Here is a 22,602-nt window from a genome sequence, read left to right as displayed (position 1 = left end):
TTTTTTGAGACAGGGTCTCACTCTGTCACCCAGGCTGGAGTGCAGTAGTGCAGTCACGGTTCACTGCAGCCTCAACCTCCTGGGCTCAGGTGATTCTCTCGCCTTAGCCTTCTGAAGAGGTGGGACTACAGGCATGTACCACTATGCCCTGCTACCACGTGAAGATTTAAAAGTAATTCCTGAGACGTTTTTAGTCAAATGAGTCTGTTTGGTTTTAATTTAGAAAGAATTTTTTTTTAAAAAAATAGGATTTGTAAAGTTGTCTTGAATAAAACAAAAATTGGTTACATTTAATTCTGAGAAAGGATAATAAGAGCAATCAGATGCTAACACTTAACTCAAAGTCTAGAAAAAGGGCTTCAGGGGAAACTCATGGAATGAGAAGTGTTTTCTGCAGGTGGGGGGCTATATTGTAGTTGTGCCTAATTCAGGTCTGAAAAAATTAAACTGACGGAAGACACAGGCAGCTGTGAAAGAGATGCTTTGGGAAAAGAACAGACCATTCCTGACCATGGACCAAAATTCCGTGAAACCTGGGAACCAGGCTCAATACTAATTCTAATGGGAACGTTGGCTCTCAGTCAGGTTATTAGATCCTCTCCAAGAGGATTAGGAAGGATACATGCAACAGAGGCAGCACCTAGTCCATGTGCTGCAGAAAGGACAGTTCAGAAAAGGCATTTTCCGACCAGAGCGTTAAATGGACTATAGAGTCCATTTAAACATCTGCTGTAAGCAGAATGCAGGTATCCTAGTCGGCTCGGGCTGCCATAATAGAATACCACAGACTGAGTGGCTTAAACAATAGAAATGTATTTTTCTCGCTGTTCTGGAGGCTGGAAGTCCAAGATCAGGGTGCTGACCAATTCATTTCCTGGTGCATCCTTTTCTCTTGGTTTTTGGATGACTCCTTTCTCACTAGGGCCTGAAATAGTCTTTCCTTGGTGCATGCACATGGAGACCAGAGAGAGCGTGTGAGAGTTCTCTCTCTCGTCTTCTTCTTAAAAGGCTACCAATTTTATCAGTTGAAGAGCTCATCTTTATGATCTCATTTAACCTTAATAACCTCCTAAAATCCCTATCTCAAAATACATTCCTGTGAATTTTGGGGGTGCGCAGCTGGGGCTATAAAAGCATGAAATCAAATTGTAAGCATATCAGTCAAATAAATAGTTTACTTTTTATCTTCCTTTATCCCTGTTTGTGGTACTCATTCCAAAAATAGGGACAACAGATAAATTATCTGCAAATGGCAGGGTGCGGTGGCTCACGCCTGTAATCCCAGCACTTTGGGAGGCTGAGGCGGGCAGATCACGAGGTCACGAGATCGAGACCATCCTGGCTAAGACGGTGAAACCCCGTCTCTACTAAAAATACAAAAAATTAGCCGGGCGTTGTGGCGGGTGCCTGTAGTCCCAGCTACTCGGGAGGCTGAGGCAGGAGAATGGCGTGAACCCGGGAGACGGAGCTTGCAGTGAGCCGAGATCGCGCCACTGCGCTCCTGCCTGGGCGACAGAACGAGACTCTGTCTCAAAAAAAAAAAAACAAAAAAAATTATCTGCAAATAAAAATAGAGAATGACCATTTAAATGTAAACTGTAGATTAAAAATGATATTTTTGGCTGGGCAAGATGGCTCACACCTGTAATCCCAGCACTTTGGGAGGCCGAGGAGAGTATATCACTTGAGGTCAGTAGTTTGAGACCAACCTGGCCAACATGATGAAACCCCCATCTCCACAAAAAATAACAAAAATTAGCCAGCTGTGGTGGCACACACCTGTAATCCCACCTACTCAGGAGGCTGAGGCAGGAGAATCACTTGAGTCTAGGGGGCGGAGGTTGCAGTGAGCTGAGATCGTGCCAGTGCATTCCAGCCTGAGTGACAGAGTGAGACTTTGAAAAAAAGAAAAAAAAAGATATTTTTTATTATGAGTATATTTTGTACGTTACGTAGGACATACTAATACTAAAGAAATTTTCTCTTAAATTAAAAGTGAACTGGACATCCTGCATTTAATCTGACTACCGTACACCAAAGGGTCAGAAAATTCAGTTTTCATTACGGCAAGGAAGAACAGAAAGGAAAGCTGATTTACATGGAAAATAATCAAATTTAGATTTGATTATAATGTGGACAATTTTAATTACTGAAATGACATGGTTTATAAATTCAATTAACTGGAGCTTTTTTGTTACTTAACAGTGATCATAAAGTTCATTCAGGCTACTAAAATTTTTTTCCAGTTACAGGGCAATAAATATCCCCTAGGGCAAGTATCAACACTCTCTTGAGTGCTGGAAACAAAAGTAAAATTGATTTTAGGATTATCATTTAGTCTTGCCTGTTCAATGAAACCTATACACATCCACTTTTAATAAGACTTAGAGATAGAAAATACATAAATAATTATCTTAACAATGTTTGTTACAGTGTTAATTGTAATCCAGCCCTGGAAAAAAACTTGAATACCCAGCAAAGGGTAAAAAGTTAACCTATTATGGTAACTCATAAGACGAAATGTGATATAGTTATCATACATATCCGTATGCTTACCAAAGAAAGAGGCCCATAATAATGTAAAATAATAAAGCCATGTCCTTAATAATATGTAACATATATCCTGATTTTACAAAATACATAGAAAAAAGAACACAAAATTGTAACAAGGTAATTTCTTTTTGAGTATATAAGAAACATGATTAAAAATCAGGGGGAGATAAATAACTTTTAATTTACTTCTTAGCAAATAATTATACATATTTGCTTTGTAATAAAAATGTTTGCCATTATGATTTAGAAAGAAGTTTATTTGGGAATAGCGACCTAGGAATATCACTCGAAGGTCACATGGTTACCTGTAAAAATAAGAAAATCTTGAACCATTAAAGAGGGAATGAAGAATAAAAATATGGATTGGGGAATTGATGAAGTCAGATGTTTTCATGAAAACTTATACTGAGATCAAGGATAGGTTTAATAACACAGCAATTAAGAGAGAAATTTTAAAGTTTAACTTCTGTGTCCCTTTTCCCTGGGGGGAATAAAGTATATACTTGGATAAACTATATAGCCCTTGAATATCTGATATAGATGATTTAACCTCTGCCCTGTGTTTTTGGATTTGCCAGTTTAAGGAGAATAAGTTGTCAGGCTATATGACTGTAGAAATTTTAAAAATGCAAAACATGTCACAAAATAATTATTTATTTTGGGGTACATAAAGCCAGGGATCTAGATTTAATTTCAAACATAAATTTTAGCCAAAGAGGCATTTATTTCAGATAAAGTTTACTAAATGATCCTTGATTTCACAATACAGGTACATATGTTTATTTTTCAGTAAATATTTTTCTAAAGCTTTTTGGACATGAAAACAGGACATATGTATTAGAGTACTTCAAGTGAACATTTTTCCAGGAAAATAGAGGGTATCAACTTGATTCTGAATCAATAGAGCAAAGGTGAATTATGTCTGAAGATGCTGCTTCATTGCACGGAACAATTTATTTGAGGTACAAAGAATCATTTAAATAGATGAGTTTTAAAATGGCACTTGAGTAACTGTAATTTTAATAGTTTTTAAGTGACAAAAAATCACTCAGGGACTTACACTTCTCATAATCTTTGGTAAAACTCCTCAAGTAATAAAACAAGATGGAGAACAGTGAATGCAAGACACATTTTCCTTGGTTGCCACATACATTAACCTCAAACAAACATTTTGTTTATTTCAAAAACAGTACACATAAATTCCTCAATAGAATATACATTAACAATGATCCATCCTTATGAAATTGACTTTTTAAAGCCAATCAAAATATTAATAAATGTTTGAAATATAATCTCCTTAAAAATAAGATATATATTTTTAATATAAACATGTTTAAAGCATTCCAATCATTTTCAAAAACCATATTGCTATTTTTCACTGTAAATGGAGTTTGCATATTCTTTGAGTGGAAACAGGAAGAATATGCAATTTTATGTAATACATTGTCTTAAATTCAGAATATTTACATAATTTTATTTAGTGTTTCATAAGCTTCACACACACACACACACACACACACACATATATATATATATACATATATATATATAAAACATGAGATTCAACTGTGAAAAATATTTTCTAAATGGTTTTCCACTGCTTTTGGACTCTTACCAGATGCTCATAAATGGACCAAAATGGGCATAGAATTGGAGACAGAGATTTTATATGTGTGTTAGGGTGTAAGTCATGTGCCTGATTAAAGAGGAAAAAAATAACAAGAAGCAATTATGTCCAAAGACAGCCTCAGAAAAGCAAACAGGGCAACTCCATGTGGTCCCTTCCCATGGTCATGAAAATGCAAACCCAGGAGCCACCAGCAAACTTGATCAGTATCACAGTTAGACATTTAGAACATTTATTCCCTAAACTGATCATTCTCGTGCAGCCTTAGAGAGCTTCATCATATAAATGTGCCAAAACAATACCATTTCCACATGTGATATCAGCTGCTTTATGGTATCATCATTAATATATTTTGAAAGGAAAAAGTGATTTTCTTTTTACAAATAAAGCATTTAAAAGTACTGCTTTTCAGACAGATAGAAACAGAAGCCCTAAAATTTGAGTTTGTGCCCACTCTAGGTCTATGTATATAATATTTTCTTATTTTTGAATAAAACTACGACGAATTGTCCAATATGCTTTTCATATATCAGAACTCCATAGGAGGACAGAGTATAACGTGCAATGAGGAAGGGCGATTGGATTCTTATCAGTGCCCAATGTTATTCATATTGGGGATGATTGGAAGAGAAAATATCAAAGTGTATGATATCTTTAATGAATACATTTTAAAATAACTATTAAAGTATTTGAATTAGGGAAAATATCAACTATATATTCAAAGAGTTATATTTGGGACTAAAAAATTTGACTTAACCAGTCTTAACATATAGAACATGTTTGCCTTAAATATCCCTGCTTGGAAACTCCAATATTCATAATGTTGTAACTAAAATAATATTGCAATTATAATATTCCATAATTTTGCATCACGATTATTATGGAATATTCTGTAACACTGCAATTATAATATTCCCTAATATTATACAATAATTGCAATATTCCCTGATATTACATAATACTTACAATATTATGAGTAATTGGAATATTGCAATATTCTAACCATTATTTCAACCATTCTCTAAACCTTTTATTTAAATAATCGCTAAAACCTCTTTGTTTGCTTTGGCATTGCCCCTTTTGACATCCTTGCTTTCATTTCCATTGTGGACATAAATAAAGACCACACAAATGAGAACAAGCAGAAATTTCATTCTGAGCTTGGTAAACTAAGGGCATCAGCATCTTGTGTTTCACAGAGACTTAAAGGCGGCAGGGGAGTGGAAAGCTTCACAGTGAATAAAAAGGGAAACCTTCAGGTTTGTCCTGATTACGGCAATTGGCATACAGAAGTAGCAGTCTCCAACTCATTCTACCAGATTAAATTTACTAATATAGATGGTGTAGAGCTAAGGATTCATTTTATTTTCAGCAACACTTTCAATAACACTAAAAGTAATAGAATAATTTGTGATCATGGCTATCACGGGGATTATTGGTTTAAGAATTTCTACCAACTGTTTTCATTCAACTTGCCATATTATATCCAAAAAATTCAGACATCTCATTTATCAAGCATAGCTAATGTTTTCTTTTTCGCAATATGTTATTGATTGATCTCCTATATTTTTTGGTCTTTGCATATTCTGTACTTATTAAATTAGTATATGCATGCATTTCATACCCCTCAACAACAGTAATTACAAACAAATTAATTATTATTTTTGATTGCATTTTAAAACAAGTTATCCAATGCCTATTCTAGCATATAAATTTGTACAGACACTCGTTGAGGCATTCATTATATATGATACATACATCTGCCTTATATTTTAACTATATTGTAATATCTTCAAGAACAAAGAAATAATCTCGTTTAAATTTCTATTCTCCAAAATGCAAAAATAGTACTAACTCATACGTACTCAATAAACGTTTCTTAATTGAATAAGTGAAACTTTCATAAGAAATGGTATTTTCTCTTTTATTGTTGGTTTTTTTATTTTTTGACTTTTCAATAATAGTCTTTCTTATTGGCGTGAGATGGTGTCTCATTGTGGTTTTGTTTTCATTTCGCCAATGATTAGTCATGTTGAGCATTTTTTTTCTTTTTTTTGGCTGCTTGTATATCTTCTATTGAGATGTCTGTTCATGTTTTTCTTGATATTTTAATGGGGTTATTTGTTTTTTGCTTGTTAAGTTCTTTATAGTTTCTCAATATTAGAACTTTCTCAAATGCATAGTTTGTGAACAAATTCTCCTATCCTGTAGGTTATCTGTTTATTCTGTTGACAGTTTATTCTGCTGTTCAAATGCTCTTTAGTTTAACCGGGCCTCACTTGTGAATTTTTGTTTTGGTTGCAATTGCTTTTGAAGACGTAGACATACATTATTTTCCAAGGCCAATGGCCAGAATAGTGTTTCCTAGGATTTCCACTAGGATTATTACAGTTTGAGGTGTTATATTTAAATCTCTAGTCCATCTTGAGTTAAATTTTGTATACGGTGAAATGTAGGAGTCCAGTTTCACTCTTTGCATATAGCTAGTTAACTATCCCAGCACCATTAATTAAGGACTTCTTTCCTGATTGCTTATTTTTGTCAACTGTATTGAAAATCAGACACCTGTAGGTGTGTGGCTTTATTTCTGGTTTTCTACTTTGTTCCATTGGTTTATGTTTCTAGCTTTTTTTGTTTGTTTGTTTGTTTTAACCAGTGTTATGTTGTTTTGACTACTATAGCCGAATAGTGTAGTTTAAAGTCAGGTAATGTGATGCTTCTGGCTTTGTTCTTTTTGCTGAAGATTGCTTTGACAATTTGGGCTCCTTTTTGCTTCCATATAAATGTTTGCATAGCTTTTTGTAGTTCTGTGAAGAAAATGACATTGTTGCATGATAGAAAGAGCATTGAATCTATAGCTTGCTTTGGACTGTATTGCCATTTTAATGATATTGATTCTTCCAATTCATGAGCGCGGGATGTTTTTCCATTTGTTTGTTCCAATCTATGATATCTTTTATCAGTGTTTTTTGTTCCTGATTCAGACTTGGAAGGTTGTGCATTTCTGGGAATTATCCATTTCTTCTGGATTTTCTAGTTTGTTAATATAGAGGTGATCATAGTAGTCTCTGAGGATCCTTTGTATTTCCGAAGGACTGGTTGCAATGTCACCTTTGTTGTTTCTGATGGTGTTTATTGGATTTTTCTCTCTTTTTCATTGTTGAGCTAGCTAGTGTTTTATAGACCTTGTTTCTCCTTTCCACAACCCACTTTTGGGTTAGTTGATTCTTTGTGTGGATTTCTGAGTCTCAGTTTCATTCAGTTCTGCTCTGATTTTAGATATTTCTTTTCTTCTGCTAGACCTGGGGTTAGTGTGTTCTTGTCTTTCTAGTTCCTCTAGGTGTGATGTCAGATCATTAATTTGAGATCTTTCTAATTTTTTGAGTAGGCGTTTAGCACTATAAACTTTTCTCTTAGCATTGCTTCTGCTGTATCCTAGAAATTTTGGAATGTCTGTTTTAATTTATTTTAAAGAATTTTTTTATTTCTGCTTGAATTTTGTTATTTATCCAAAAATCTTTCAGGATCAAGTGGTTTAACTTTCATCTAATTGTATGGTTTGGGAGGATTTTTTGGGGGGGGTATTGATATCTATTTTTATTCCACTGTAGTACAAGATTATGGTTGGTAAGATTTTGGTGTTTTTGAATGTATTGAGACTTGCCTTATGGCTGATCATGTGATTGATCTTGGAACATGTTCTATGTGTGGACGAGAAGAATGTGTATTTTTTGGGTGATGAGTAGAGTGTTCTGAATCTATTAGGTCCTATTGTTTAAGTGTCAATTTTATGTTCAGAATTTCTTGTTAATTTTCTGCTTCAATGATCTGTCAAATGCTGTCAGTGGGGTGTTAAGTCCCCCACTATTATTGTAGGGTGGTCTAAGTCCTTTTGTGAGTCTAGAAGTAGTTGTTTTATGAATCTGGTTGCTCCCATTTTGCATGCATGTATATTTAGGATAGTTAATTCTTCTTGTTGATTTGAACCCGTTGACATTATGTAATGCCCATCTTCATGCCTTTTTATGTTCTTGGTTTAGTCTTTTTTATCTGATACAAGAGTAGTAATATCTTATCATTCTTATTTGCTCTTTTTTGCTTTCCATTTGCATGGTGGATTTTTATTCAACCCTATACTTTGAGCCTATTGGGCATCTTTACATTTGAAGTAGGTCTCTTGAAGACAGCAGACAGATGGCTTTTATTTTTTATCCAACTTGCCATTCTGTCCCTTCTAAGTGGGGCATTTAGGCTGGCTTACATTCAAGGTTAATATTGAGATTTGAAGTTTTGTTCCTATTGTGAGGTTGTTAGGCTGGTGGCTTTATAGGGTCTGAGGGCTATGTACTTAAGCATGTTTTTGTGGTAGGAGGTATTGTTCTTTTGTTTACACGTTTAAAACCCTTAGGGATCTATTGTAAAGCTTGTCTTATGGTAACCAACATAAGACAAGTTCTGTTAGTACTTGCTTGTCTGGAAAACATTTTATTTCTCCTTGACTTAGGAAGCTTAGTTTGGCAGGATATGAAATTCTTGGTTGGAATTTCTTTTCTTTAAAAATGCTTAAAATAGACTCCCAATCTCTTCTGGCTTGTAAGGTTTCAGCTGAAAAGTCTGCTGTTAGCCTGATGGGGTTTCCTTTGTATTTGATCTGACCATTTTCTCTAGCTGCCTTTAAGGCTTTCTAACTCAGTGTTGACCTTGGACAGTCTGGTAACTATATACATTGGTCATGTTTGTTTTGTATAATATCTCATTGGTGTTCTGTGTATTTATTGTATCTGGATGTCAACCTCTAGCAACATTAGGGATATTTTCATTAATTGTTCCATCAAGTATATTTTCTAGGTTTTTAACTTTTTCTTTCTCTCTCAGGAATACCAATACATTGTAGGTTTAGTCATGTTATATAATCCCATATTTCTAAAACACTGTTTTTTTAACATTCTTTTTTATTTTTGTCTGAGTGAGTTAGTTTGAAAGACCTTTAAGCTCTGAAATTCTTTCTTCTGCTTGGTTCAGTCTATTGATAAAACTTTCAATTGTATTATAAAAACTCCTTAAATGAGTTTTTTAACTCCAGAAGTTCAGAATACTTTTTTTTTTTTTTTTTTTACTGTTTATCTCTTCCTTCATTTCTTGGATTGCTTTATAAGTTTATTTATGCTGATTTTCAACTTTGTCTTGGATCTCATTGAGCTTCCTGCAATCCATGATTTAATTCTTTATCTGTCATTTTGAGTTTCCATTTCAGTTAGGGATCATTGCTGGAGAGCTAGTGCGGTCTTTTTGTGGTTTCACTGTATTCAGATTTTTCATGGTGCCAGAATTCTTGTGCTGGTTTCTTTGCAAATGGAGAAACTAGCACATCTCATTTTTGTATTTAAAAAATGGTATCGTCTTGACTTGTAATATCAGCTAAGAAAACACAAAAATGGGAGTAGAAGTTGCTAAAATTAATGAATACCAGAACTATAATACATACTAATGTGATTGGTGGCATCTGAGTGTTGGGAGGGCAAAATTTGGGTCAGGTCAAATCTATACAATGTGAAAGATTTTAGATGTGGGTTATAATGTCAGATAAACTTTCGTTGTTGTCTATCATCTATTTAATATGAGAGTTTGAAAGGCTTTGCCTTGATTTGGCAAAAATTTTTTAAACGTCAAATATTGTTGTTAAAGAGTTAACTTCTACTGAGATAAACATAAATTTGGAAAGATTAGTCAAGGAAAGAACCCATCATCAGTGACAAAGTTATATTTGTGTGATTTCTAGACCTCTTCCAAACATTGATTTTGTTGAAATGTTCTTTCTTATTGCAAACTTAGCATTTAACTTCGTGTTGCTTAAAATATAAATGTGTGTAACTCCAACATTGGACTACTACTGAGCATTAAAGGGTATTTAAAGAGCATTAAAGAGCATTTTCGGCACCCTTATATCATTGTTGAATGTTGTCAGTGTTTCTACTCTTTGGAATAGACAAGGTGAACAACAAACTAATTTGTATTTAGCTGTTTTTACTGTGTTTGTTTCATATTATGGATAATTTATTTATTTTTGGCCCATGGAAGTGGTTCAGGCCTGTGCTCCCAGATTTTGGGAGGCCAAGGGAAGAGCATTGCTTGAGGCCAGGAGTTCAAGACTAGCCTGGGAAACATAGCAAGACCCCATCTCTACGAAAATAAAAATTAAAAATTAGCCAGGTGTGGTGGTGCACACCTGTGGTTGCAGCTGCTTGGGAGGCTAAAACAGGAGGATTGCATGAGCCCACGAGTATGAGGCTGCAGTAAATTATAATCATGCCATACCACTCCAGCCTGGTTGACAGAGTGAGTGTCTCAAAAATTAAAAATAAAAGTATAATTATTTTAGGCCTTTTTGTTGAATTGTTTGCTATTAGTCTATGCATATTTTAAAAGTAAGTGTAATGGTTAATTTTGCAAGTGAAATATGTCTTTTTAACTATATACTTTTTAAAATCTTCTTTTCTATTTTTATATTATGCTTTAATTCAGATAAAAATTTACCCAGCATCATGATCGTATAATATGGTTATATCATTGGGTACTTCATGTGGACTTATATTTTATTTCATTTTATTTTTATAAGGAAAGGATTTAGCTTTCTCTACCTTATTTTGCTGGGAATGGTTAGAAAAACCATTATTTTATGTCTCATGATTGTATTTTGCTCAAATTGTTCTTCATTATAATTAGATTTGACCTTTCAGAAAACCTTAGAATAATACTTACAAGTATAAATGCTTCTTATGATTTGTGAATAATTCTGAAAGTCTAAATAGAATTTCAGAAAACATGAATTACTTTGAGAATAATTATATTATTTTTAAATTAACAATAAATAATATTTTAGAAAATGTCTAAAACAAAATAGAATGAAAAGTAATCTCATTTCAAAGTGCTTTAAATTTATATATTGCTCATATGTAAATTTTAACTATCATTCAAATGTATAAATTTTAAATGTCTGGCAATATTAATGTTAGAGTGAAGGTCAGGATTGTGACTAAGATTGCTTTTTATTAATTGACTTAGTTTTTTATTTAATACCTTTACATTGCTATCATATTAATATTTTAGGTTTTTAAAATTTGTACTTATACATTTTCTATGTCAGTCATATTCATTTACTTATTGTCTCTTCCAACATATGACAGTTTTCAGTGATTTGTATGTGTGTATGTTTTTGTGCCTATGATTGGAAAGTTCGGATGACTACTGATGACTCACTTTATAAAGGGTCCTTTATTTTGAATATCCAATCTTTTCTCATGGTTAGACTAGAATTTAAGGCATTAATACTATGGATTTGAAGTGCTCTTCTGATTAAATCGTATTACGGGATACCTAATATCATCATGACTTATTATTACTTGGCTATGGTATCTCTCCCGGGATTCTCTACTATAAATTTACCATTTTTTTTTCTTAGTATTTTGCTTTAGTTACTAAGGTTGGCTGAGGAATATCAAAGACATATGTTAAGGCCATTACATTAATAAATATTTTGGACTTTTTACTTAGAGGCTATATGAATAACCTGTTTCTTCAAGATTCAACCACCAGTTTCAGAAGTCATAGTTAGATTTTTACTTGAAGCAATTGTCACTGAGGTTTAAAAAAGTGATGTTCTATTTTACTCATAAATTCTATAGGCATTATTTGGAATTCACTTTTAAGGAATATGAGTCATTTCTCCCCCATTTCTTTCTTTCTTTCTTTAAGTATTTATTAATATCAGTGTGGGCTTATGAATATCTATTGTATCTTTATGTTTAAGATGCAATATTACTGCAGTTATATTTTGCTCACATTATTCCAGCTTTTAGTCAATGGGAGCACGTTCATGTTGCCTCCTGTTTCAATACACCACTTTAAATAGTGAAATATTAAAATTCCTACCAGTAATATCAGGAAGAAGGATACTCACCAACAAAAAGGATAAATATTTTAAAAACATAAAAACAAAAAAACAAAGTATTTAGTTCTATTCTCACTGTAATTATCTCAGTCTCTCACAGTTCATTTCTATTATGACAAGAATAGTTTTGAAAAAATAAAATAATTTTCTGGGAATATATAAATATTCTATCACAATTACAGCTGGAAACTGAAGATATTTCATTTCATATCCCTAAACATCATAACTTGACATAACATTTTAAAATAGGAACTGGCTGATTTCAAAATCTATATAGGAGAGTAAATATATGTGATTTGCTAGTTATATTAAATAGAAGAATTTAAGGGACTATATTAAATAGGTTTAAACTATACCATAAAAATATTCTATAAAAACACATCGTATGAGTTCAGAAAAAGACAAATAGACCAGTAAATAAGAATAAAATATTCTGAAGACAGATCCAAGTGGGAACTTAATATGTCATAAAAATGATATCCAGTTTAGAGGGAGGAAATAGTAGTTCATTCAAATAAAAAATAATATTGTAAAAATCACATATGTATTAGGGTTCTCCAGAGAAACAGCACACACACACCACACACACACACACACACACACACACACACACAGAGAGAGACAGAGAGAGAGAGAGAGAGTTCTTATAAGGAATTGGCTCACATGATTATGGAGGTTGGAAAGTCCCAAGCTCTACAGAGGGAGTTGACAAGCTGAAGACCCAAGAGAGGCAATGGCATAGGCTTAGACCAGGAGGGCTGATGGTCTGGTTCCTGTCCTGATGTTTGAGTCTGAATCCTCTCTTGCTCAAGGGAGGGTCAGCTTTTATGTTCCAGTCAGGCCTTCAACTGACTGGATGAAGCTTGCCTCCATCAGGGAATGCATTCTGATTTTTCTCAGTTTATCAACTTAAATGTCAATCTTACTCAAAAACACCTTCACAGAAACACCCAGAATAATGTTTGAACAAGTATCTGGGCACCCTGAAGCCCATTCAGGACACATATGACTAATCATCATAATTTATTAATAAATCACATGTGTTTCAATATTTTAAATATAATAAAAATAGTGATAAAATATTAGAAGAAAATACAGAACATTTGTTACATTGTTAATAAGGATAAATTTTTAAAACAAATTGTAAAAGCCAGAAGTCTAAAGGAAACTATGGAATAACTTAACATAAAAATAAATTATTTCTAGAAAGAAAAAAAAACATGAACATGTTCTTGGACAACATTGTGAAATGTATTGCTCATTTGTATTTTTAAGATTAATGTTCAATAGACTTTTTAATGTAAAAGTTAACCATAAACACTTTACAGATCTCTGAATTCAATATTTTATTTTTAATATTTTAGAAGCTGACTCCACCAGAGACCCGATTCTTGAACTTTTAATGCACATTTGGAAATCCCGTGTTTAGTTGGCTTAGATTATAAACTGCAGGAGAACAAGAAGTGTATCAATTATGTTCCAGTTTCTAGGATGTAGTAAGTATCGATAAATATTTGAATTACTGGATCAATGTTCTCAGGTATAGAAAGTGCTTACTCCCTAGACAAATGTGGCACTTTCTTTTTTCACAGTTAATAAATATGCTGTTTATTGTTTGCAACTTATTTTCTGCTGAAAAATTCTATTTAATATTGTATAGGTAAATGAAAATGTGTGTAAAATTTGACTGAATGAATCCCACAAGAATGCGCCTTACGTATTTGAAATAAGTTAAAGGGGAAAAGAAAAACTCATGAATAGGGTTGACTTTTTTTTTTTACTATTTTGTGTGTGTGTGTGTGTGTGAGCAATTCAAAGGGAATAGATCTGAAACTTACAGGAAGCCATATGCTCATCTTTGTTGACTGTAGACAGAACCTTTTCTTTTGCTAGTCATGCATGAGAAAAGAAACAAAAATGATGCTTCTAATATATTATTTTCAAAAACCTGCCAGTTTTATTATTCTACTAACTGCTACCAGTTAGTAAAATAATTTATTATGGTGAAAAGCTAAACATAAAATAATACAATTCTGTTTTCTTCAACATCTTAATAAAAATTGCATTTTCATGCTTTACATTTTACTAACCTAGCTTGAAATTGTATTGTTTAAGGAATCCTGTAAGACTTTCTCATATACCAAATACTATCACCATTAAACTAAGGTTGCATGTTATTTTATTATGAAAAAGATTTGAATAATAATTTCTAGCATAAGAAAACTAAACCAAAAATTTACCTTTTATACAACTCCTACTGCAAAACTTATTCAAAAGAGAAGGTTCACTTTATTTGAGTTTTGTAATGAGGCTACAAATAAAGGGACCTCATCTCCTGTGATGTGTGTGTGTATGTGTGTGTGTGTGTATGTGTGTGTGTGTATAGGTGTTTGTGATACCAGTTTCCCTATGTCTGCAATTTCCCTGTTAACTTCAAGTTTATTTCATGTATACAATACTTAGTTGAGTATAGAAATATGATACTATGTGAAGGAAAGGACATTTAATAAAATATACATATGTAACTAACCTGCACAATGTGCACATGTACCCTAAAACTTAAAGTATAATAAAAAAAAATCACGAAGTCAAAAATGGGTACAGGTTCAATCAAAGATTTTAAAGTAGATATCCAGAAAATTGTTTATGTATTTTCAAACACTGTTTTCTTCTCTTTTTGTTAACTTTGTTTCCTCCCCTTCTGTTATGTCTTTCTCACGTTCTTCTCAGCTCTTCTAGTGGATCCACAAGCAAAAGGGAAGAGGTATGTGGAGTGTAAAATAAGAGCTTCTGGAGTTATTCCAGAAGAAAATCATATAAAGTTGTCATCAAATTTAGCTCTCTGACTCATTGAACATTGTTAGGAGTATACTTTATCAAGAGAAATAACTCAATTTATCTGTACTGTCTTGAATAAATTACCTTCTTAGAAAATCCCTTTCTTCATTTTTTTCTTTGTCTAATTACTCCCAGGAAGAAATATCTTATTAAGACAATTGTTTGGAGTTTGGATTTTGTCTTCCCTTACTACCCAGCGTTTAACCGAAATTTAATTGTTGTTTTTGATATGTATGTGTTTGTTATTTTTCTGTGTATATTTTTCTAGGGGAGTGTGAAGGCAGAGAAAATAAAGCACAGCCTATGAAATTATAGCTTGCAGTTTTGCCAGAATGATGCTCTATTAATGCTCAGTGCCTCTTAACTTCTCACTTAAAACCCAATTGGGAAAAATCACCAACTAATAGGTATTTATTATATTAATTACAGTGTATCATGGGCATTGACCAAAACAAGCATTTTTACTCCCAGAAAATGGCATCTTAAACAGTCCAGTTTTCTTGAAAACTTAATAATTCTTCATAATGGATGCTCTTTTTTGATTTCTTTTTATTACTAAACCACATGTTTCTATATTAACTTGTTTCTATGTTCCCTTTTCATCCCTTATTTCTGGCATCATGATGCTAAATTGGATGAAGACTTGATGAAACAGTTTTTATTGTCTTTTAATATCAGGGTTTATGTTTTGTTCTGGAATCACTCTTAGCCTTGCGTGTTTTATATTAGCTCTGTAACTCCCCAACCTCACAAGGAAACCAAGGCTTCTTTCACATTTCAACACAATAATCTGCGGTCCCTTCTGGTCCAGGATTCCAAGCATCTGTGTGTCCCTTCCCTCAAGATGGAATTGTCTCTGGTCTCCACATTTGTCTCAGTTGGAAGTCACATTCAAATATTTTTTATTTATAGCTGTCGTTGGAACTTCCAAACTCTGTGTCCTCAATAGCCTCCATGCCTAGAGTTTTATAATCCTTTCTCTCCTAAAACTTTTTCTCTCAATTTTGAATTTCCTAGAACTTCAATCGCAAGAGGAATCCCTCACTCCCATCTGTATTCCAGGAGCACTGTCCCCACATCTGCTTCCTCTGATGTTCCCTTTCCATCCCAGTCTTCTTCAATGTAGACACTGCTGAATTTTGAAAACCTTGAACTGCTCCCTAAATGCTTTCCTTTTCTTCTCTACCACATGTAGGGAAACGCTGTCATCTTTGCTTTCTTTGGTTTCTCATATACCCTTCCAAATGAAGCTCAGTGAAACTCCTTAGCAAACTATATGGGATCAGTATTTCTGATTCTGACAAATTATTTTTCCAAATAAATGCTGCCCTTATTAAGAATATTTTGAATATTTTTATATTTTAATATTTCATTAAATATCTTCTATGTATTTAATATTCTTAAACTATGTATGTAACCTTACCTACTGCTCTGTCACAGTATGCCAGCTTTCTTGTACATGCCTCTGTGGTTTTCCAAGCAATTCTCCAATTCTCTGACGCCATTTGGTTGTCTTACAATTCAGTTAAATTCTGACACTTAACTCCCTGGAGTTAGTACAGATCCCCAAAATTAACAGCTCAGTCACACAAAACTGATCCACTTCAGACACTAACCACAAATGTGTGCCCAGGCTAAGTAATCTGCTGAGTACAAATTCAGAGGTTCTCATGACCTTCTCTCAGGTTTGGTAATTTGCTATAACGACTCACAGAACACAGGAAAATGCTATCCTTACTGTTACAGGTCATTGTAAAAGATCAAAGTACAGCTAGATGAAGAGGTACATAGGGCAAGGTGTGGACAGGTCATTCAATCTCCATGGATTTGGGGTGTGCCACCTTCCTAGCACTTAGATGTATTTGCCAACTTGGAAGCCTTCTTTGCCTCATTGTTTCAGAGTTTTTATTGAAAATTTATTTAGCAGGCATAATTAATTAAATCTTTAGCCAATCTAGTCTTGTGCCAACCACCAAATGTCAGCCAAAGGTGGCCAATTCTTCAAATCATGTTCAAATATGGCAAACACAGCTGTAACCAAAACAGCTGTTTCTGTACCTCACTTTTGTTTTATGTACCTCACTTTCCTTTCCCTGTCCATAAATCTCTGACCACTAAGCAGGCTGAAATTTCCCTGAAGCTATTCGGGTTTGGGGCTGCCCATTTTACAAATCATTCTTTGCTCAATTAAACTCTGTTAAATTTAATTTGTTTACTGTTTTTCTTTTCACAGAGGCTATTCCGTATACTTACTAGAATATATGAGTTTTACAAATTGGAATGATAGGCATTGATATTGACACATCTGGAGAAGGAGTGATCAAAGAGAAGTGGCCCTGGAGCTCTCCCCATGAAAAGATTAAATTTTTAAGAAGATGCTGCTCACCTAAAACTTATCAATAAAGTCAACTATAGTTTCCAATTGGTAAATCATTGTATGAAAAAACAATAAAACTATGAAATAAAAGTAATAAGTATTCTAATGCCTTTCAGCTTGAATAAAATTGCAGTCAATAATTTGGTGCCAGAAATGATGTCATCATTGTAAAAAAACACTTGTGGAGAAGAATACTGTAACAAGACACATTTTCATTCAACTCCAAATATCGAAATGTGTCTATTCATTTCTTGTTTTTAAGCCTAACTGGTTTACCTCAGCAAGTAGGCTGACTTATGAAGGTAAGTCATGAACAGTAGCACTTTTCTAAATGGTAATCATTATTCTCTTTGATATGGTCGTCCATATACTAGCTGTTCTTTCTCAGGTATTCCCTTCCTTCCGCTCTACTGCATTATTCAGTGTTATTTCTGAAGGCCATGAAGTCCTAAAGTTTGTTGCTATTTTGCTGTTGGTTTTACGACCATGTGCACTTGTTATAATGAGAGGCATGGTATCTTCCATTTTTATTTTTTATTTTATTTTACTTCTTATGAGACAGAGTCTCACTCTGTCACCCAGGCTAGAGTGCTGGCATGACCTCTGCTCACTGCAACATCCACCACCCAGGTTCAAACGATTCTCCTGCCTCAGCCTCCCGAGTAGCTGGGATTACAGGCACCCACCACCACGCCCAGCTAATTTTTGTATTTTTAGTAGAAACTGGTTTCACCATGTTGGCCAGGCTGGTCTTGAACTCCTCACCTCAGGTGATCCGCCCGCCTCGGCCTCCCAAAGTGCTGAGACTACAGATGTGAGCCACTGCGCCCAGACGTATGTTCCATTTATAAAATGGCACTGGATTCCATTTATACTATTGGTTTTGCCAATTGCCAATTGACTTAATTGGAAAACTCCTCAGTGAATAAAATCTCAATGGCCTAGGCAGGGTATGACTCCTCTTTCAATACTAAGTTGTAGGCATAAATCATTCCCAAAAGAAGATTTACATTAAAGTGTTGGTTATTAGTAATTATTTATTACAAATATTATATAATTAATAACTATTATACATTTATATGCTACTGATATAGTAATTATTTATTTAATAGATAATATATGCTAATATTATATAATTATCATCTAATAATTATAATATAATATATTAATTATATTAATTAATTAATAATATTAATATAATCATTTTTCATTGTTAGCTGTTATGTCCTTAGTTATATCTTCCATTTATACCATTTTTACCATAGGATGTGGTAAATGTTGTTGAATAAACCAACAGATGAGTAAATGCATAGATTTCAAATTTGAGACCATCCTACTATAATATATTGTTTATCTTTCAAAGAAGGAAGTAACTGGAAGCTTAATAGATTGGAAAAAGTTCAGCTTTCAAACTTAATTGCAGAAGAGAAGATGATGGTTAGTTAAAGTCAAGGAAAATGAAATGCTTATAAAAATGTATTAGCAAAGATAAAGACTGTTACTGGAAGAAAAAAAAGTTTTTTGCTAGTTTAAATTTTTTGTTACCTGGGTGAATATCCTTTTAACCAATGAAGAACCTCAAGAATGAATAATGTATTTTTGTAACCCAAATTATGATGTTACAGATAGAAGAGAAGTTATGAACCTCTATCTTTACTCATAAATATATATAAATAAAATTCCAATTAGCACTTCAGTGAGAGGATCACTAAAAATGATAGCATATCACAAATTACTTGGAACTGCAAAGCATGCTAATTCATATTTTGGAATAAATTCTAGGTTTGTCAGAATGAACTTAAATCAGTTTTCATATTTCCCTCTTTAGAGTGACTTTCAAATCATGAGATATTATCAGAATAATTTCCATCAAAGACAAAATTAATCTTCATTTTTCAGTTTAATGTCTTGCCAGTAGATAAGTTGTATCCCTTTAGATTAACGGCTAATTATTTCACAAATAAAATTCAAGTTGTTACTGTCTGTGGACATACCATCTAAATTAAATTACTCACTGCTTTTGAAAAACCTAAGTTATTAATGTGCACATATCAGAGTACTTTTTTATTTATCTTCATTATAAATGATTTATGCAATTCATTAGATTGTGGTAATTATCATTTAAGACTCATAAAGCTCTTGTTTATGCAAGCTTTGCTGGTGTTGAAGTGCATACTGATTTACAAGATAGGTTTGGTAAGTTGTATATACACAATAATGAAGCCATTCAAATTATCTTTAAAAGATAACTAGATGCAATGTGTTTTATTTCTGATAAGACTATACCTGGAAATGACTTATAAAATAATTATTATGTAATGGGTGTACTGGGGAGTTAGAGAGAAAAAAAAAGACTGGGTCGATTTTGGCTTATTATCTCCAGATTAAACATAATGCTGGAATAGGTGACTAGGGCTTCCCAAACACACAATCTAAGTTAACTGAAATTACCTCTGGGTGCTGCGTTTTTCAAATGCTGCAGTTACCATAATGAATGTCTATTTTGTCCATAAGCCAAAACAGTCACTAAGTTACAAAACACAGATTTTTAAATATATCCTAACACATTAATGTTGTATGCTTTCAGTTTCAACATTTAAAATGTTTACTTCTTTGCTTTCAAATACACTCCTTGATCCACTAACTTAAAGATTACATTCACTTTTCTATTATTGGTTAAAAGTGGCAACGTGTAAGAGTTAAGATAAAATTTTCATAATTGTGACAGAAAACATCATCACTCTCATAAGTCTATTTTTTATATGAAATTCAGAACAATAGCCTAAGTAAGTATTTGTATTTTGTGATAGTCCTGAGGTCATTGTTTCTTGCTGGATTGCAGTAAGAGCTCACTTTCAGATCCTCAAGTCCACCTGCACCCTTGGCCTACAGCCCTCTTCCTCCAGCCTCAAAGCCAGCACTGAGAATTGAATCTTTGACTCTCCCCTCGGCCTCCCCGGCCAGTTGTCTCTCTTACTCCAGCTAGAGAAACTCTGCTTTTAAGAGCTCAGGTGATTAAATTGGATCCACTGGCATAATCCAAAATGACATTTCTATTTCAAAGTCTAGATGCTTAATTATATTTGCAAAGTTCCTTCAGCATTACCTAGATTAGTGCTTAATTGCTAAGGTATAGGAATCCTGGGTTTGGCATGTTCAGAATTCTGCCCATTGTACCTCTGTATGTATTTTTGTTTTAAAGTTTTAAAATTTATTTTTCCAGCTTTATTGAGATATAATGAACACATAAAAATTGCATATATTTAAGATGTACAATATAATGATCTGATGCACTTATACATTGTAAAATAATTACTACATCAAATTAGTTAACATATATACAGTTGAGGGATGCTTTTACATCCGATCTGAAAATCTGTTTTTTAACTCAGTGTTAGGACATTTATTTTTCAAATTACTAGTAAGCTTTGGGAAATTCTCAGCATGGATATTCGTGTTCTATTTATTACATTTGTTTTGCTCTTTTCTTTGTCTTTTGTATTATTAGAATATTTTTATTTTCACCATCTACTATTATATATAGTTATTATAGTTATACATTGTTTCTTTTTTTTTTTTTAGTGGAACTTCTAGGGGTTGAAATATAGATTTTTACCTGAAGAAGGCCTACTTTTAATTATGTTATACCATTACAAGTATAATACAGGAAGTTAACAACGTTATGCTTTGATTCCTTGACTGTATGATTTTGTGTCACATATTTTATTTCTAGATATGCTATAAATTCTGCTAAACACTGTATTACTTTTTGCTTCAGTAGGTACTTGTGAAATACATTGAAAATGAGAAAAATGTCTTCTATTTACCCCATTTTACTATTTTTCACATTCTTCTGTCTTTTCTTTGAAGTGCTCAGCTGGAATATTTTCTTTCACCCACCAAACTATCTTCCACAGTTATTGTCATTCATTCTGTTAAAAATTCTCTCTTCATGCTTGTCTCAAACAAAGTACTCATTTTGTCTCATTTTTGAAGCACAATTTCATTGGTTTGTTTTATCTTCCAGCACTTTAGAGAGATCATTCTCTTATTTTCTTAGAAAATATTTCTCAGAAAATATTTCTATTTTCTAAGATCCTGAAGTTATTTTTTCCTTCATTCTTGTGGATGTAAGGTATTATTTTTCTCTGGTTACTCTAGGGTCTTTCTCTTAATCACTCTTTTCAGCAATTTATTACAACTTTTTGTGATTTCTTTGCATTTTTTTCTCTGAGGCAGGATAGGTAGTCAAGGAAATAATCATGTCCTTGGGATGTGGCAACCATGTCCATAGCACTGTCAACACCAAGCGCCCGAGCACTGGCATTGCGGTCATGCTCATCTATGCAGAACTATCTCCAGTAGGGACTTCTGCTACTATCTATCTCCTGCAGGGAGAATGCACATTTTGGGTTTTCTTGTCCTCAAACTGACTCTTTGCTCATTATAATAATGAAGACACACCCCTGGATAGAGATTGATGATGCTAATGAGCCACACAATGTGTGAACAAGCACGTACAGCTACTGTCCATGTGCACCTAGAGGGCCACCCACAACATGCTTACCAGTAACACCTATTACTCCCTTATGAATAATCATGTAAGACTCCCATAAAGGGGGTATCCCTAGTGCCAGTCTTTGCTGACTCTCAGTCAGCCATCTCTAACTTGTCTTTCAGAGCATACTTTCACTTTTACACTTAGCTTTCAGAATGTTCTTTCTCTTTTCCAAGAAACTGATTTCTACCACTTTCTACTGCTGTGCGTCTCTTTAAATTCTTTTAAACCAAGAAGACAAGAACCGAGGTCTCTCAATTGCCATCAACATTTCTGTTTTGTTGAACATCTTAGACTTGTGGTTTTCTAGTCTTAATACAATTAAGAAATTTTCAGCCACTATTATCGGAATTATTTTTCACATTCCTCTGACCTCCAGTTTGGGTCTACAGGGAAACATAAATTACACCATGACATATTATCTCACAGCATGATGGTTAAGACAGAGTGTCAAATTGATTGGATTGAAAGATGCAAAGTATTGATCCTGAGTGTGTCTGTGAGGATGTTGCCAAAGGAGATTAACATTTGAGTCAGTGGACTGTGGAAGGCAGACCCACCCTTAATCTGGGTGGGCACCATCTAATCAGCTGCCAGCACGGCTAGAATATAAAGCAGGCAGAGAAACGTAAAAAGGTGAGACTGACTTAGCCTCCCAGCCTACATCTTTCTCCTCTGCTGGATGCTTCCTGCCCTCGAAC

General features: G+C 33.6%; 1 long non-coding RNA gene across 1 annotated transcript in view; it reads left to right on the top strand.

Annotated features, from left to right (window-relative positions):
• Nucleotides 1–17,432, top strand: part of LINC01899 (long intergenic non-protein coding RNA 1899) — a 49,612-nt gene extending 32,180 nt beyond the window's left edge. Inside the window, exons 2-5 of the long non-coding RNA NR_126324.1 lie at nucleotides 13,493–13,624; nucleotides 14,859–14,892; nucleotides 15,235–15,373; nucleotides 17,200–17,432. This is a non-coding gene — a long non-coding RNA (long intergenic non-protein coding RNA 1899). The remainder of the gene's footprint in view (nucleotides 1–13,492; nucleotides 13,625–14,858; nucleotides 14,893–15,234; nucleotides 15,374–17,199) is intronic.
• The last annotated feature ends 5,170 nt before the right edge of the window (nucleotides 17,433–22,602 follow it).

The sequence above is a fragment of the Homo sapiens genome, chromosome 18, assembly GCF_000001405.40.
Source record: "Homo sapiens chromosome 18, GRCh38.p14 Primary Assembly".
Lineage (NCBI taxonomy): Eukaryota > Metazoa > Chordata > Mammalia > Primates > Hominidae > Homo > Homo sapiens.
This window is presented reverse-complemented; position numbering and strand designations above follow the sequence as displayed.